The following is an 18532-nucleotide window of genomic DNA, read 5'->3' as shown; positions in this document are numbered from 1 at the left end:
TTGGTAAATGTCAATGATTTGCTCTTTTCTCCTTGGTGTATGTAACTTTCTTCCATGCTGCTCATCCTGGCTTTAAGAGCAGCTAAGCAAACACAAGAGGGAGAATTAAGTGGATTTCTTATCTCTTAGCTTTCCTGTCTTTGTAACATGATTATTAGGTACAGCTTCCTCTCCTTGCTGCACATTCTGTTGGCCACATTCTGACAGCCTGTCTTCTCAATGCACGTGAGGCACAGTTTACTACAACAGGCTCTATGGATTTTATTTTTTTAAGCTGGGAATACTACAGGGGCTTTTACATGTGACAGTTTTGTCCATTTGGGATTGGGGTAAGGAGGATAGAGGGCACAGTGGTAAAACAACTTGTCTAGATTTAAAAGAAATGATGTAAGTTTGCTAGACCTTTGGCTCTACATTCTGATCCCATTTTTTGTGATTTGCACTATACATGTCTTGAAGAATTGGGAGTGGGACATCAACCTTATTCAGTAAATAGTTATATCTAGCAGTTATGTATTGGACAGCATGCTAAGTGCTGGAAATACCAAGATAAATATGTTACAGTGCTTGCTCTTGAGGCATTTGTAATTCATCAAGGGAGAGAAATGTAAGAGAGGCTAGCACTATGTGAAAATGGTTATCATAGAGCTGTGCACAACATATTGCGGCTGCAGAGAGAGAGAGGCAGTGACGCTGATTTAAGAAGGGCTTCAGAAAGGAGGCAGCAAGCTGGGCTTTCAAGGATGGGCTTGCCTCATAAAGAAAGCAGAAGGAATAATCTTGGCAGATGGGCAGTATGAACCAAGAGCTGAGTGTGGTATGTTAGGGACATGAGGGACATGTGTTGGTTATAGTACAGAATGATGGAACACAAGGCTGGGAATCGAGGCCAGGCCTAAGAATGACATGACCTTGACTTTCAGTTTGAACCGTATCTTGTATTATTTTAAATCATGGAGTGTCATGATTAGAAATGTCTGTTTTAGAAAGATCAGTATGGAGAATAGCTTAGAAGGAAGAAAGAATTAACTAAAAGCAAATGGTCCCAGAAAAAGATGATGAAGCCTGTTGTGTGAATGGAGTGGAGTAGATGGATATGGTGGACATTTGGAGATAAGATCATTGACACTTAGTGAACAAAATTAGGGGAGTGGTGGACAAGGGTGGAAACTTAGGGGAAGGTACCTAGAAGGTGTGAGCAGAAGAAATATTATAGAATCTGTGAGAGAGACTAAGAGGTATGATAGAAGATGGTGGAGGGATATATTTTCAACAGGAGTAGTGATGCTCAGGAGTATAAATGCCTCAAAAGGGACAACTAGGACAGGACTGAGAAGCAACCACTATGTGTAAGAAATTGAGGTTCATGGTGACCTTTTGGGGAAATTACTTTAGAGGTACTCTAGAATGGAGAAAACAGCTAAATGCTTATACTGTTCAAGCTGTATCACAATTCTACAAGGATGTAACTAATGATGAAATGCATTTGTGTGAAAGACTATTCACAAACATTCAGCTCTCCAGGCGCTTGGATTGGGGGAAAGAGAGAAGAGAGCCTAGGGTCAGTACTGAGGTGTCACTGAATAATACCTCTGACTTCCATATCTAGGGTTTCAAAGAGCCCCCTCCTTGCAAATACCATGACTCATGCTATTTTGCTTTGTTACTCTCAGGATACTGTAGACTGTAGATGCTTATAGACTTCTCTTTTGATTCCAGACTGGTTCTTATTTCTAGCCATGGTGCTTGTAGTGTATGTTGTGGTATGTCACACAGAGCTCAGTTCTCCACTGCTGAGGCACTCAGTTGTCCACCTTCTGGGAGTGTAGGTAGCTAGGGATGACGTTCATCTGAAAAATGTCCTCAGCTGAACAGTGTCAGTTCACCTAAGATTGTTACCTCTGGGACGGGTATTGGGGGGCATCCCACATGCAGTGACTAGTCAATGGAGATGGGATGCAAAGTCCTGATGCTTCCAGGTAGGATAATTCTCCAGGGCTGTCCTAGCTCCAGCACTTCCATGGATCAGATGAAGTTTTTGTTACCACTACATTTCAGTTCAGCTCTTCCTTTGGCTCAGTCCAGTTCTTCCTTTACTCCCCGGCAGGTGTTGATTCTGAGGCATACCCCAATAAACTCACACAGTATAAATCTCAGGGAGTCTCAGGTTTTATTCCTGGGGAACCCATCTGATATGATGATTCTTTCCAGTTTGGTTGCCTATGCAAGGCCAGTTGCCAGTAGAACTCTTTAGTTCCTCTGAACTTTACTTCTGAGGCCCTTGGATGTGTCCAGCAAAAACCTTCTCCTAGCAGTTTGAACTAAAGGCTCAGCATTAAGCCTCCTTGGTTTTGATTGGTTGGGACATATACCCAAGAATAGATTATTCAAGGAGAGAAAAGAGCCTCACAAGTCAGCTGTCCAGATCTTCCTGAGACCTACCTACTAACCCCAGCTCTGAGAGGGGACCCTGAGGCGAGTGACCTTTGGATGTAGAAGCTGATTCCTGCTCTGCACCTGTTTGTGCTCCTGCCCTCATCTCACATCCCTGTTTGATTCCCAGGTTCCTTGAGGCAGCCACTCATCACTGTCCTGTATCTCTTCTCTTTCTGTTATTTTTTTTTTAGTTAAGAAAAATGAATGTTGAAAACACAATTGAGCTATTTCAAGCAAATGTAGGACTTCTCTCCAAATATGTTGCAGAAACACCACCAAGCAAACAAACTACTGGGAAGCACAGCTTAGAAACAAACAGCAGCTGCCACCATTTATGGGCTTTTTTTTTCTTTTCCTCATTTCTTTCTAATTCCATTTGTAATAAAACCTGCTGCTCTAATGGCCTAGTAGTTTAACCAACAAAATTTTTCTTCCCGATCCTGAGGCCTCCCAGGTGGCCTTGATGGTGTCTTCTAACTATGGGGTGTTGGTCGACTCAGAGCTCTAAGTCCCTTAAGAGTGTTTTCCGGTTTTGTGGTTCTGTCTGGAACCACACCTCCCAGACCAGGTGGGGCATAACTGGAACTTCTGGACTTCTGGATTTTTCAGGACATGAGCATGGAGTGTGGTTTCTTGCCCTTCTGGCTTTGTAAGAGCAGGTAATGTAGTGCTAACTCCAATCTTTCTCAGTGACTAAGTGCTTAATCTGTTGGGTGCTTTGTTTGCTTTTTGTTTTTGTTTTTATTTGTTCTCTGTGTGGAATCTTTGAAGGCACCTACGCAGGGGCTTTTCTTGAGTTTGATTTACCACAGATTGGACTTTAAAGCATCCTGACTTGTCAGATCAAACTCATTTTTCCCTTTCCCCAGAATAGCAGATAAACTCATTTTCCCCTTCCCCCATTTAAATCCTGCTGGTGGTGTGGAATTTCTCAGCTTAAAAGTGATTACTATTAGGTGTTAATAGATTTCCGACTACTTGAAAGGCATTGTGCAAAGCCCACACTTATTCTTCACAAGAGCATGGCTAGGTAGATGTCATCCCTGCAGACCCAGACAATATGTTGCTTTCTCGGGGTCTCCTAGGATCACACAGCTGGTCAAGGCACAGCTGGTATTTAACCCAGGTCTCTCTGAATCTGAAGTTCAGGCTGTTCCCTCCCTGCCTCTTAGCCACCCATTGTAATAATATATGGCATTGCTCTTATGTAAGTGTCCAGTAGAGACAGGCCAAAGGCGCAGTCTATTTTTATTTGTTCCTAAGAATGTTTTTTAAATTAAGTGCCTAAAACTTAAAAAATAGGAGATCTCACATTAAATACAATGTTCAGTTTCTCTTGAAAAATCTTTAGACCTGGCAATATTGTGCTCATATGTTGACAAGACAACAAGTGGCTCCAGCTAAGTAAACTCCACCCCACCCCACCCTACCATACCATACCCTACCTCCCTCAAGGAGGCTCGGGTTGCCCAGTTTGCCACAGGCCCCAACTGGACCACTTTACTTGTTTATGTTACTGGCCTGGCCTCTGTAGACATTTAAGTTTGTGACTCCTAGATTTATGCCTTTAAAGAAGCAATTTCTGTCCAGTTAGGAATCAGTAAGGGGTGAAAGTCAATTTCTGCCTCTGAATAGAATTTTATTGGCTTTGATTTTTCTTTTCAACTTTTTGGGATAGTAATTCAGTTATAATAGCAGTAATTTTGGATATTTATTGAACGCTGTAACATTTAGCTGACTCCTGGGGTTAGTGGACAACTGATTGGTGGTAAGAACTTGAATAATTCTCCAATTTAGTTTGCATTCTAAATCCTGCAGTTACTCAGCAGGTACTGCAGGAACTGGAGGCTATCCTCAAAAGTATATTTTGTAGAGGCAGTATTACAGAAGAGATGAATCCAAAGAAAAACTTTCTGAGAGAGGTAGTTAAGTTGACTCTATTTTCCCTTGGAAACTGTTGACTACCATAGGTAAGATTGCCCCACAATGCACGAACACCCTTCTTAGCTACCAGGGCTCACTCAACACAATGAACAGCTCGGATATTTCAAAGAGAAATACCCTGGAACATTAGAACCTTCTCAGGATGATGAGTCTTTCACTTTATCTTGCTGTAGCTCCTGCAAGTGTGTTTTTCCATTTAACAGTGAGAAATGTGTTACTTCTTTTTTATTATTTCACTTGAAAAAGCATCTCCTTTTGCCTGATTTAAACACATTTCATAGAAATGTAAAATGGAAAGAAAATAGAACTTGGCTAATTTCATAGCTGCAGCTGACTTAAATTTTAAAATTTTGATAGTATTAAATGTTAACACATGAGAGCCCCTGAAGCTAAAGTTGTTATTTATTTGCTTAATTTAAATAAGTATTTGCTTTTGATTAAGGCAATGCCTGGAATATTGTTTTGAATTTTTATTGTTTGTTTATTTTCTTTCAGGACCCCGCAGGGATCTTTGAATTGGTGGAACTTGTTGGAAATGGAACATACGGGCAAGTTTATAAGGTAAGTACATTGAGTCTGAGAGTGGCTTATGTACGGTTTCAGTTCATGAATGACAAATTGCAGTGCTGTCTATACTGGCTCATAAATGGCTCCTAACAAATTTAAAATGAATTAATATACTTGTTGATTGACTCTCCATCTTTTAAAATATATCTGTGGTTATGTTGCTTAAACTGGATTCTGTGATTTGGGTATTTCCCTTCATTATATATTACTGTGTTTGTATGTGACACATGAATTCTGATGGCACATATTTGAAGCTCTTCAAGCGTTCAGTTTCCTTTACTTAATCACTGCCAGAACTGGTTTTTGAAAGAGAAAAGAATGCCATCTACTTCAGAAATTTAAGCTATTAAACTATTACAGCTGGAAAAGTAGATGTGTTATTGGCCTAGGACATGAATTAAATGAGTGGAGTGAACAGTGTTGGAAGAAAACTGGGTTACCTCACAAAGCAAAAGCTTAATAGCAGCGACGAATTTTAGGAAATAATTAAAAGTTAAACTTGAGTTGAGACTGAGCTGTGGAATAAGAAGTCTTGCTTGCCTGTGTACTAATTTCTGCTTACAAATTCACTCAAAAAGTGTTTTTAAAAGGTATTTTCCCCAAGTATAATCTACGAAAAATGGCTGGTTGAAAATGTGAGTTGATTCCTTTTCTGATTGTCAAAAAAAAAAACAAAAAAAATGAAAGTGAACTGTTTTTGGACTGAAACTTTTGGGGTTTCATTGAATGAGCTATTGAAATGCCATCAAAACAAACCAACTGTTTCCTCATGATAATTTCTAGGGAAATATCCATCATTTTCCCTAGTGGCAGCGATATGGGATGGCATTTCCATTACAAATTATCTCGTGTTCTATTTTTAAAAATTCCTCCTGAGCCCTAAACTTCTCTCAGTTAATTAAATTTATTATAGAAATCATTCAGGTTGTAATATTTTCAATTCTGCAGAATGTCAAAAGTATTATTTATAGGGTATTCTCGAGATTCTAAGTGGATACACATTTATATGTTTATTTACGAGAGGTTTCCTTTGGTGTCCAGGGGAAAATTCTCCCTTGCAAGAAACGATTATTTCCTAAATTGTACACCTTTTACCATTAGACAGAATGTAGTCTACCCAACCTGCTCACTTGACGTTGATCCTGTCTGACACAGAAAGAAATGTGTCTCAGCAAAGGCTTTTAAATACTTTCAATGAAGATAATTAGGTTGGAAGATTGTGTTACTGCATTTTGAGAAACTGGATTGAACTTGTGAAGTAACTAATGAATTAAGCTCTGACTTAGGTACAAAATTACTTCTGATTTGCTGTCAATATGAAGGAGCAACTCTGTAGCATGCTGTTGGTTTTATGGTGCCATTTCTTAGAGCCTTTCCGTTTCATTATGTTTCCCACCCATAGAATATACATTTGGGAGACATTTCACAGCTTGGTACACTAATTCAAGAGGTGAAACTCTGCAGTCTTATAAGAGGAGATACCAAGAGATTCAATTAAGGATGAGAATATTTGGAAAATCCAGAATTATCCATAATTTCTTGTTATTTGAAAAAGGCAAGGAAACAAATGGCAAGAGGTCTCAGATCTTTTTAGAGAGGGAAGATATTTAGCAGCTAGGTTGTCAACATTATTATTCTAAAGGATTCCATTCTCTTGGTGGTTGATACAGTACTATGGCACCTTCCAAGTTTAAGGGAGATTCTGCAAAGAATGGTCATGGTGAATGCAGTGAACTTTGGGACAGGAGATTTGCTCTCTTTTACCAGCCCCATTGTTTTGTAGCCACCACAGCTTTTCTGTGTATTAGTCAAATGAGAATGTAGTTAGAGATGCTTTGGGGCCTGGCCAGGTGCGGTGGCTCACGCCTGTAATCCCAGCACTTTGGGAGGCCAAGGCAGATGGATCATTTGAGCTCAGATTTCAAGACCAACCAGGCCAACATGATGCAACCCTGTCTCTACTAAAAATACAAAAATTAGCCAGGTGGTAGTGGCATGCACCTGTAATCTCAGCTACTCGAGAGGCTGAGGCAGGAGAATCTCTTAAGCCTGGGAGGCAGAGGTTGTGGTGAGCCGATATCTTGCCACTGCACTCCAGTCTGGGCGAGAGAGTGGGACTCTGTCCCCTCCCCCCCCCCCCAAAAAAATGCTATGGGGCCTTGTGTTGATTTACTTAAAGAATTATAACTCCCTACCTACCTATTTAAGGGTTTGGTTTCTAGGCAACCAGACGATGTTAGGTGGCACTGCTCATGAGCAGACCCTGTGTTTCCTGAGGCCACTAATCCAGTCCTGCTGTCATTCTGAGTTCTAAAAGATTAAAGTTTAATAAAATAGCAAAATACGAGCTAAAAGATATGTGAGCCTAAGTAAATTACATTAAAAAGTGATTGCACTATAGATTATGCAACTTTTATGGAATATGTATGTTTCTAAAATACTGTAGGTATAAATAGAAATGTTATAGCTCTAGGAGGAGGTCCTTATACATAAAATCATATGATAAGTATTTTCTTTCTGTTAAATACTGTATTAGTCTGTTCTCCCGCTGCTATGAAGAAATACTTGAGACTGGGCAATTTATAAAGGAAAGAGGTTTAACTGACTCACAGTTCTGCCTGGCTGAGGAGGCCTCAGGAAATTTACGATCATGGCAGAAGCCACCTCTTCACAGGGTGGCAGGAGAGAGAATCAGTGCCCAGTAAAGGGGGAAGCCTCTTATAAAACCATCAGATCTCATGAGAACTAACTCACTATCATGAGAACAGGATGGGTGAAACCGCCTCCATGATTCAATTATCTCCACCTGGTCTCTCCCATGACACATGGGGATTACGGGAACTACAATTCAAGACGAAATTTGGTTGGGGACACAGCCAAACCATATCAAATGCTAAGCCTTTGATTTTAATTTTTAAAGTCTCTCTTTTGGCATTCCTGGTTTTCATAAAGTCAGGTATAATTTTATGAATAAGTATATGGACATAGCCCTTATTTTATGGAAAAATTTATTATAAGTTTCTTTTTTATAAGCTGCCCTAAGAGAGTCATAATATAATTTTGTTTACAGGTAGTTTTAAAGAAACATACTTAATATAATAAATAAAAAGTATATGTAGGTATTCAGAGAACACCTTGAAATATATCTGCATGTGAGTCAGGTACATCTAGATATAGAAATATAAATATTTTATATAAAAGCCATTTAATAATGTTTAGTTTTTCAAAGTTGCTTCTAGTCTTACTCCCAATTTTAGCTTATTCCTGTTTTGGGCAAGGTTAGATTTGTTTATCTTTAGCATTTTAGTCCCATCTAATCAAGTAGTGATTCAATGTCTGTTTTTTGCTTTATTTACCGAGGAGCATAGGTAAATAATAAAGAATAGTGATTCACTCTCAGGACTTTTAATGAGGAAACCATCTCCTTCTGTTCATGGCTGCATTAAAAAATAAACCAACAAAAGGCCACATACCCATTTACTAAAGGTCTTGGCTGTTTATTGGCATGCCATCTATTGGGAACCTAATGGAATCTGGACACATTTTTGTTAAAATAGAGTAATTCTTTTAATAAATTGAAATAATTGTTTAATGTTTACTGGTAAGATACCACTACAAATTAGCCACAGGTTTTAAATAAATGTTGGTTTTTCCTGTCTCCTAATTTGCCCTTTTGAATATAGATTGGTTATTACGGAAATGAAGACATATTTTATCCCAGGGTGATAATGTGAATTAGGAATATGAAGGATTCCTCAGTATTTCTCATATTTCTTTTCAATACTTCTTAAGGTTGTAAAGTGCAAAGTAGGGAGGCCGTCGTGGTGGCTATTGTGCTTAAGAGAGACAGATGCTGTGAGTGTGTATATTTCCAGCATGCTATAAGAGTCTTCATAGTCCTCATTCTGAGTTCTCTGCCAGCTGGCTGTTCAGCCCATCCTTCATGACCTCCAGTCATGTGGAACTCATTACTTTTCTGTCAGTCCATTTTCCTGCAGTTCCTTTGAATGTTATCACATTGTGCTGAGATCCTGCCTTCTTAAAATGTTTACCATTTCAACCCCATTTCATACCTCTAGAGCTATTTAAAATTTAAAATTAAATATTCTTTCACAAGAATGTAGAACTTTTGGGCCGGGCGCGGTGGCTCACGCCTGTAATCCCAGCACTTTGGGAGGCTGAGGTGGGCAGATCACCTGAGGTCAGGGGTTCAAGACCAGCCTGACCAACGTGGAGAAACCCTGTCTCTACTAAAAATACAAAATTAGCTGGGCGTGGTGGCACATGCCTGTAATCCCAGCTACTCAGAAGGCTGACGCAGGAAAATCACTTGAACGAGGGAGGCAGAGGTTCTGGTGAGCTGAGATCGCACCATTGCACTCCAGCTTGGGCAAGTAGAGCGAAACTCTGTCTCAAAAAAAAAAAAAAAAAAAAAAAAAAAAAAAAAAAAAAGAATGTAGTCCTTTTGTGTAGTCCTTTTGATATTTGAAGAAAATTTCTCCGTTCTTCCTCCAAACATATACTTACATCTCCTGTTGTCCAGGCAATGTAGCCTCAGTTGCTTGATTCATTCTTATGGCATAGAGCTGAGGCCCTTCATTATCCCCACGAACTATTCTGTCACTAAAAGTCGTGTTTTATGCTTGTAAATAGTTTTATATTCCATAAAACCTTTTGAATATATTATTTAATTTCTATATTAGAATGAGCACCTTGTTCTCACTTCAGGGTCTTTAAAGTCATAGTTCCCTCTACTTAGAACACTTTCCCCCAGCCCTCTCATGGCTGGCTCCTTCTCCTTCAGGTCTCAGCTCAAATGTTACCTTCTCAAGGAAGCCACTTTTCATCCCTGTGTCTATTACAGCTAGCCACTGCCTCTGCTTCCCTCTGCCATAGACTTTCTTTATTACATTAACCTGCTTTATTGTTTTTATGGTATTGCCACTCTCTGAATTATCTTACTTCCTTGTTTATGTCTGTATTTAGCAATTTAAATACATAAGTCAAGGGAAAATTAAGTCAGAGACCTAGTCTGTCTAGGCCATCACTATCCCTAGTCTGGCACACAGTAAATGTTGACACTTCTGGGGCCCAGAATTGAGCTATGTTTTCCTTGATAATTCTTTCTATATTTGTTCCCAGTTTTAAATTTTTTTTAGCATTTTCATAAAATGTTAATCTTTGTACTTTAGAAAAATATATTTGCACAAAAGCAATAAACAAAATCCTCTACCTATTTTTTTTTTTTTATAATGGGATGGGGATGTGGATCTTATGTTTAATGAATTACCAGTAGTCTGCAGAAGCAAGACTATGCTAGAAATTTACAAAATGAGGCAAAGCAATTTTCTGGGGTCTGGTCTCCTGGCAGAGGTCCTCAAACTTTAGTATGTAAAATGAATATTTGGGAAAGGATTTAAAATGTAGATTTCCCGGCTCCAACTTCTGAAATTTTGATTCAGTGGGTCTGGGGTATCCTCTTTGAACATTTAATAAGTATAAATGCTCATTCTGTTGTTCAAGGTCCTGGGACCGCACCTCCAGAAACTGCAAAAATGATTGTATGTTATCCTGTTATAGGTCACTTGAGTGAATGCTAATCCTATACTTTTTGTAATCATTTATTTTAGGATTTCCATGCTGACTCAAACTTACATAAACTGAGAAAAGCAAAAATCAAAGATCTTGCCCTGAGATGTGATACCCGCCTGTTTTGGCTTATTCAAAGATTTGACTTTCAGTGTTTTTATTTGATATGCTTATGATTACAGTTTAAAGCTGAATAATTTAACTCAAGACCTGAGAATCAATATTGTCAAAACTGACCTTATATAGCAAAATCTTGGCCTGTTGGGTGGAGATTTTCTCAAATCTGTATATCACGATCTCTTCATTAACCTTCTGTTAAAATAAGATAAAACATTTCAATAGCAAGTTTATTAATAGTTTATTTATGGAGGTGATTCTATAACATTATCCTGGATGCACTGTAGCTTTTCATAGCCTGCTGCAATGAATCATGTATTATACTATTCACTTATTGTTTGGCAAGGAGTGAGTATGGGAGAATGGTGTGTTTTATAGATAATAGTGGCGTTTGTTTTTTAATCAAGAATTTCTAACATAAAGAATACATTCTTTCACATTTGTTGAGTGCCCATGAAAAAAGCCCTGTGCTTTGTATGGGAATAATGCAGAGCTAACTGAGGAGGTTCCTACTCTTAAGAAGTGCGTAATCAGATTATCTAATTAGGACTGAGTGTTCACTGTGCACCAGAGGTTTTTATGTATATTGTCTCAGTTATTCCTCATGGTGGTTATGGTCTCATTTTACTGGGGAGGAAGAACATTTATTAAATCACATTATCACTGTAAGGCAGGGTTTCTCAGCCTCAGCACTCCTGAGATATGGGGCTGGATAATTCTTTGTTGTGGGGGCTGTACTGTGCATTGCAAGATATATAGCAGCCTCCCTGGCCTCATCCAACTACAAAGCAGCAGCACCCCTAAGTTGTGACAGCTGAAAATGTCTCCAGTTTTTCCTGTGTCTTCTGTGGGGGTAAAACCACTGCTCTAAAAATCACACAGAATGGCAAAACTCTTAACATTGAGGTGCAAGTGGGGATGGTGAGAGTGTAGACTATTTAGGAATTAATGCTGTCCAGGCAGAGTGGGGACCTGAATGGGCACAAGATGTGGGTTTGGAAAAAGCTTAGAGGCTTTGGCATTTCCACTGTATCTGGGAGTGTAATTGAGCATTTTTATAAGTGGAAAGAGTATAATGAAAAGGACTTTGGAGCAGGACTGCCTGAGCTGGATTCCTAGTCTGGTTTTGCTCTGTTCCAGTCATGTGAAGATAATCAACTTACCCTGTGAGCCTGGATTTCTTTATCTTTTATTAATAGTACAGATTAGAGCTGTTAATGAAAACTCAAGTATAAAACATTAATATGTGGAAGCATTCAGCTCAGTGCCTGACACATAGTAGGCACTCAATAACCTTTTCCTCTTCCCAAACACATGTGCCAGTTCTTCCCATGGTCTTGCTTTCATAGAACATTTTATGACCTAAAAGAAACATTCATAGAGGAATGAAGTTAGAAACACATGTCTTTGTGCTCCACATTCTACATTTGATTTATTGGTTTTTATGTATGCTTAGAATGGCATTATTTGTATTAAATATTAGGATGGTGCAAAAATAATTGTGGTTTTTGCCATTAAAAGTAATGGCAAAAACGACAATACTTTTGCACCAACCTAATACCAGTATTACTTTTAATGGCAAAAACAGCAGTAACTTTTGTGCCAACCTAATACAATTCTTACATTGTATTTGGTGATATAATTGCCACTTGGATATTATATTTGGTCTTTAGTGCTTAAAAAAGCCAATGTCTCAATAATGTGTAAAGAGAAGATAGGTTAATAGAGGAAACAGGAATCAGTTGCAGCACTGTGGAACTTTGGTGGGGTGAAAATGGTTTCTGAATAATTTTATATTTCACAAGTTTTGGAGGAGAAGCAACAGTATTTCTTCTTCAGGTAGCATAAGGTCTCAGGAGAGAGTCTTTATTGTGAGATTAGTGAAGGGGTGTGGAGCAGCAAGAACCTCATTTAGATATTGAGGACCCGTTGTATGGTTTTGGTTCTACCCTTAACTTGCCTTAGCTTTGAGCTTGCCATAGATCTATTTGGAACTTCAGTTGTTCTCATCTGTAAAATTAGAATATAAAGAAACAGTTTTCATGATATAACCCATGAAGCTATCGTGAGGTTGAAATCAATTAATGACTATGAAAGTATTTTGTTAAATATAAATTCCTATGTACATGTAAGGTTTGATTACTGCTATTGTCATTTATTACAATAGGAGGTGGCAGATTCCTGTTATCTTGGGGTCTGGGGAAGTTTATTCCTATGTTGTTATTTCTCTTCTTCATCCTCAGGCTTTATTATCTGTTCTTAAAGTGTAGTTTTGCTAGAATTAAAGGTAACAATTTTACTTCCATTCTCCAATAAGTAGGAGAATCATTCACCTTTGAAATATGTTGGCTTGATGAATTTTTCATCCTCATAGATCCCCAAGTTGTTTGCATCTAATTTGTCTGAAGACCATGCCACCTTGTGCTATGATCTGTTGAGTATAATGAATTAGATGGTTGTCATGTGAACATGGAGGGAAGACCTTCGTGGGTGCCTGTGTGCTAGATGCCATATGGGTGGGTCGATTGCTCTACTAGGTAGTTGAACCTGTAGAGTTGCTACCAAAACTTGATACAGGGACTGTGTGGGATTTCTTATTGCTACTAGTGGTTCGCAGCCTTCACTTTTTATAGAAATCATCTGGATAATTTTGCAAAACTATAGATAATTGGGCCTTTCTTTAAAAATTTGATTTTGGTTTGTCTGATGTTGGGCTGGGGAAGGTTTTATTCCAGACCTTCCCAGATGCTTGCAATGCACAGCCAGGATAGAGAGCTGCTGGGCTGAGGCTGTCTGTAGTGTAAGTGCTCTTTTGGGTATCTTTGTCTTTGGAGATGAGTCTACCCCTTTTAGCTCTATCTTGGGGTTTTGTTTACCTTTGTTTATTTATTCAGTGTCAGCCTTCATAAGTATCTAACAACTGCCTGGCATTGCCATCAGGGCATGGTTTATAGATAAACATGTGGCATGGTCCTTGCCCTCCAAGGGTTTGAAGTCTCTGGGTGGAGAGACATGAAAATAGATCACTTCAATGTTGTATTCCATGCACCACAGCAAGAGTATACAGAGCAGAGCCAAATCTGTGGGGGCTGTGGGAAGACCAGGAAAGCCTTCATATAAAGGTGACTCTTGAGTGGAGTCTTAAAAGATGAATAGATGTATGTGGAAGGGGAATTAAGTAGGTACTCTAGGGAGAGGTAGTGTTACCAAAGGCTTGACTGCTTTTGATGGCCTGGGCCAGGGTCAATAACCTGAGGTGAAGTAGGGCTGGGAAGCCTTTAAGACAGACATGGACAGATGGCTCTTCTGGCCTTGAGTCTTGGCCTTGAGACTCATTAGCTGTGTGAGCTTAAGCAAGTCATTTAGCTTTTCTGGGCCTTGGTTTCATGTATAACGAAGAGGTCTGGCTAGAGGGTCTCCAGAGTTCCTTCTAGATATGACATCCTTTAATTCTAAGTAGAGCACTAGTCTGGATAACCTCCACAAGTTGCTTCCATGAATCCACTTACAGCCTGTGCTTTTCCAACTGCAAAACTGTTACAGCAATACTCTAAACCATTAGCAAAATGATTTATACGGAATGCCTAACATTATTAAGGTACCCATGTGGCCTGGTGGCATTGCTTGGTGTAGTTGATGTGTTGAAGGATGTAGACACATGCACATTTTATACCATTCTCTCATTAATTCAGAGCCGCAAGGTTTTAGCAGGTTCTCACTGCCTCAGTGAATGATGATACAAAATTTCTAATAGTGATGAAAAGAGGATGAGATTTTCTGTTAGGGATGGACATGGATTGGCACTCGTGTGCTCAATTTTGATTTGAAGTATTTAGAATGCTTTAGTCCAAAATACTTTCATTCCACCTCATATTGTATCAATGAGTTGCCAAATAACTTGATGCACAACCCCCTCATGACTTGTAGTTTTTAGATCTCATAACACCCTTAATGACTTCGTGATTATAAGGCACTTTCAAGTAATTAAACCATCAATAGTTACTATTCTGGGTTATTTGTAACCTGTAAAATGAAACCCCGCCAGGATTACAGGCACAGAATTTAGGGCTCTTCACGGTTTTTAACTATTTTGTACATGGGAAACATTTGAGACTCTTTAATAAAAAGAATAACCAATTAACTGTGGTATTGAGATTGTATTTCTTATCTCTGTAGTTTAACCTTAAGTATAATTTCATTAAATCTGCTTGGATATTTTGCATATGCAAAAAGAAATATCTGCTGTTCGGCAAGCAAATATATGCTTACTACTACATAGGAGCGTTGTTGGTGGTGAGGGTCTAGAATGGGGTCATTACAACCTCTGCTGCTGGGTGCAGTGGCCTCTGATATTGCTTCGGATCTTGGTCCTGTTGCTCACTTTGCAAGGAGAAGCACAGAACTACTGTGTCCATTTTGTTCCTCTCTACAACAAAGGCAGACAAGTGTAGCAGCTGGTTACACAATTTTTCTAGATAAATTACAAAATGTCTGTTACAACAATCATGATAATAATAACCATATCATCTTTGTGGACAGCAGGGAAGAGTTAGGAACTCCATATGTGAAGAACTCAGTCTCCTTTAAGGAGAAGGTGACTTCTTGTTTTAGAAAACTTGCCCGTTACTGTTTAACATCTTCGAGTTGATACTTCGAGTATGGCTTGAGAAATTCAGTTTTGATCTGTGCATCACATTCAGGGAGGTGGTATGAGGCTCCTAGCTGAATTTATCTTACTGGAAATCTTTTTAGTGGTACCTCTTTCTCTTATCGTAGAACGTACATACAGTAATTACCCCCTTAGCCATTTTAAGTGAGCATACAATTCAGCAGCATTAAGTACATTCACATTGTTGTGCAACCTTCACCACTACCCATCTCCAGAACTTTTTCATCATCCTCAACTGAAACCCTGAACCAGTTAAATATTAACTCCCCATACCCTACTATCCCTCACTCCACCCCATGCCCTGATCTCTGTTTAAAAAAATACTGTTAGTAAACTTAAAACTTAATTATAGAGGTGGTGGTTTCCTGGGTCATGTCCTGCAACACTGGATCTGCAACAAGCTTGAAATGGGTCTGCATGTCTGTCTGTCCTTACGTTGGCGTTCCTCCAAGGTACCTCACCAACAGCCCACTTTATTATCTGCAGGTGACTGACCGCCCCACAACTGCAGGGCTGCATCTTGTTCTAGGAAGCTGAAACCAGCTGAAGCCCTTGATTTTTCTACCCTGTTTATATCTAAATAAAACGATCCTTCTCAGGTAGAAGTCCACAAAAAATACGCAAGCATTTTGTATGAATCCTAAAAGAATATTGTGTATGTTTTCTGATATGGTTTGGCTGTCTCCCTACCCAAATCTCACCTTGAATTGTAATAATCCCCGGTCAAGGGTGGGGCCAGGTGTAGATGATTGAATCCTGGGGGCAGTTTCCCTCATACTGTTCTCGTGTAGTGAATAACTCTCAAGAGACCTGATGGTTTTATAAAGGGGAGTTGCCCTACACAAGCATTCTTGTCTGCACCATGTAAGATGTGACTTCGCTCCTCATTCACTTCCGGCCATGACTGTGAGGCTTCCCCGGCCATGTGGAACTGTGAGTCAATTAAACCTCTTTCCTTTATAAATTACTCAGTCTCAGGTATGTCTTTATTAGCAGTGCAAAAACAGACTAATACATTTTCTATATTAAAATGTCTGGGCTGTGGTTATTTTTATTACAATTTTACAAATGAGATTTCTCTTTACCTTAAATGTATCAACTATTTTTTAAAGCAGCAAAACATTTTTCCCCCACAGGAAACTCCAGTATTTGACACAATAGCAGGATGTTCTGGGAGGATAGTTAGGATCTACCTCATGGAGCCGTCCCTTTGCCGACACAACACTCCCCGATGCACCTCTACCTCCCTCCACAGAGTAGCCCCACACTTGGAGCTCCAGGGAGCACAGTTCTACATCCCCAGTCACAGGTTCCTATGACATGACCTCTGCCTCCCCCTCCAGCCTCATCTACGGCCCATCCTGATTCCCACTGTGTCCATCTATGGTAGCACATTGCGGGGCATTCGTGCACACTGCACACGGTGTCTGTTTATCCGTGCTGTGCCCTTCCTCACCCCCTGTTGGCTAGCAACCATACTATATCCTTAACACTTGGTTCAGGCAGCACCTGCCCAATGGGGTTTGATGGTTTTCCCTGCCTCTTCTCTCCGTACTCTGACCTGTTTGTAATCCTCTGTCTGGCTGTCTCCTATTCCAAACTGAGTCAGGGACATTACCTTACTGTTTCTCTAGTACCAATACAGAGTAGGTAGTTATAAATATGTACCAAAAAAAAAAAAAAAAAAGTACAGAGGCTGAGGCAGATGGATCACCTGAGGTCAGGAGTTTGAGACCAGCCTGGCCAAAATGGCAAAACCCCGTCTCTGCTAAAAATACAAAAACTAGCTGAGTGTGGTGGTCTGGGCCTGTAATCCCAGCTACTCGGGAGGCTGAGGCAGAAGAATCACTTGAACCTGGGAGATGGAGGTTGCAATGAGCTGAGATCATGCCACTGCACACTCCAGCCTGGGCCACAAAGGGAGACTCCATCTCAAAAAAAAAAAAAAATTCTGCTGAGTTTGGAATGCCCTAACTCAGTGAGATATGTTTAGGTTTGCTTCATCTCAACTGTTTGAGTATATAAATTAAGGAGACTGACACAAAATATAATATTTAGTAGCCAACAGCAGTTTGATACCTGATAAGTAAAAACAGTGTCCGCCTACCATCTAATATGACAGAAGAGAATAGGACAAAGAAAAAAATTGTTTTCCCTTCTTTTTAAAACTGGCTTTATGATTCTAAGGCTGTTTTTGTGGCTAAGCACAAAGAACCACAGCTCATCTGAACTTTTAAATAGCCCATTGCACACTTTTGATATCAGAGATGGGTTTTTGGAGGTTGTTTTCCATCTTCTACCATGTCTTTGGGACTGTAGAGTTAAACGTTGACATCACTGATATCAATCATAAAACATAAAACAATGGTTTTGAAACCTTCATATTCATTATTTCATTTGACCTTCACAGTAACCCCATAAGTTAGATAGAAGAGGTATGATTAACCTTGTCTTAAAGGAGAGAAATTTAGGTCTGAGAGTTTATAAATGTCTTCCCTTGAAGCCCCCAGGTAAGTAGTAGAGCATGACTCCTGATCGAGTCGCCTAAATTATCTTACCTCCACTCAGAAGTTTCCCAGGAGGAAATTTGTGTATAACATCTCCTTAAATGTTTGGCAAAGATTGGTTTTGCCCTGCCCTTCCATTGCATGTTTAGAATATTTTAAGTAGATTCTTGATAAGTCTGAATTTATACTATAGAGCAGCGATGCCATAGCCTGTTTCAATATATAGTGCTTCTCATCTTTATAGCAAAAATACTAAAAGGTGATTCATGGCTTGGTGATTACTCATTGATTTCTTAGTAAATGGGGACACTGTGTTTTTGTACAACAAACACAATTGTGTTTTCCCAGAAAGATAAGAAGTGGATTCTTTTCCACCTACAAAAAAGGAAGCGGCATACCTTGGGCTACTTACATTTTACAATATAAAATACATCTGTGTTGATTATTTAAGGGAGTTGGTTGCCTCGTTTCTCAGAAAGGAGGAAGAAATTTCTAGACTTCTTAAAAAATCAGCTCCAATAGCCAGGTGCATTATGATTTTTTTTTCCCCCCAGAAAAACTCTATATTCAGACTGGAGCTTGATAAATGTTTGTTGAAATGAATTGAATTGATTTATTCGCTCAGCTTCAGTTGTGTGATTTTGTGAGCAAATGGATGAATCTTACTGCTCTGGAGACCACGCAAATATTTGCCAGGTGTATA

General features: G+C 39.3%; 1 protein-coding gene across 9 annotated transcripts in view; it reads left to right on the top strand.

Moving 5' to 3' along the window:
- The window catches only part of TNIK (TRAF2 and NCK interacting kinase), a 401995-nt gene that overhangs the window by 85848 nt on the left and 297615 nt on the right, over positions 1 to 18532 (top strand). For all 9 annotated transcript variants that reach the window (NR_027767.2, NM_001161566.3, NM_001161565.3 and 6 more), the window contains exon 2: positions 4876 to 4941. Coding sequence is in view for 8 of the 9 variants with exons in the window: in NM_001161566.3 (NP_001155038.1) it covers positions 4876 to 4941 (66 nt within the window). In the remaining variant the exon portion in view is untranslated. The remainder of the gene's footprint in view (positions 1 to 4875; positions 4942 to 18532) is intronic.

This window comes from Homo sapiens, chromosome 3 (assembly GCF_000001405.40).
Source record: "Homo sapiens chromosome 3, GRCh38.p14 Primary Assembly".
Lineage (NCBI taxonomy): Eukaryota > Metazoa > Chordata > Mammalia > Primates > Hominidae > Homo > Homo sapiens.
This window is presented reverse-complemented; position numbering and strand designations above follow the sequence as displayed.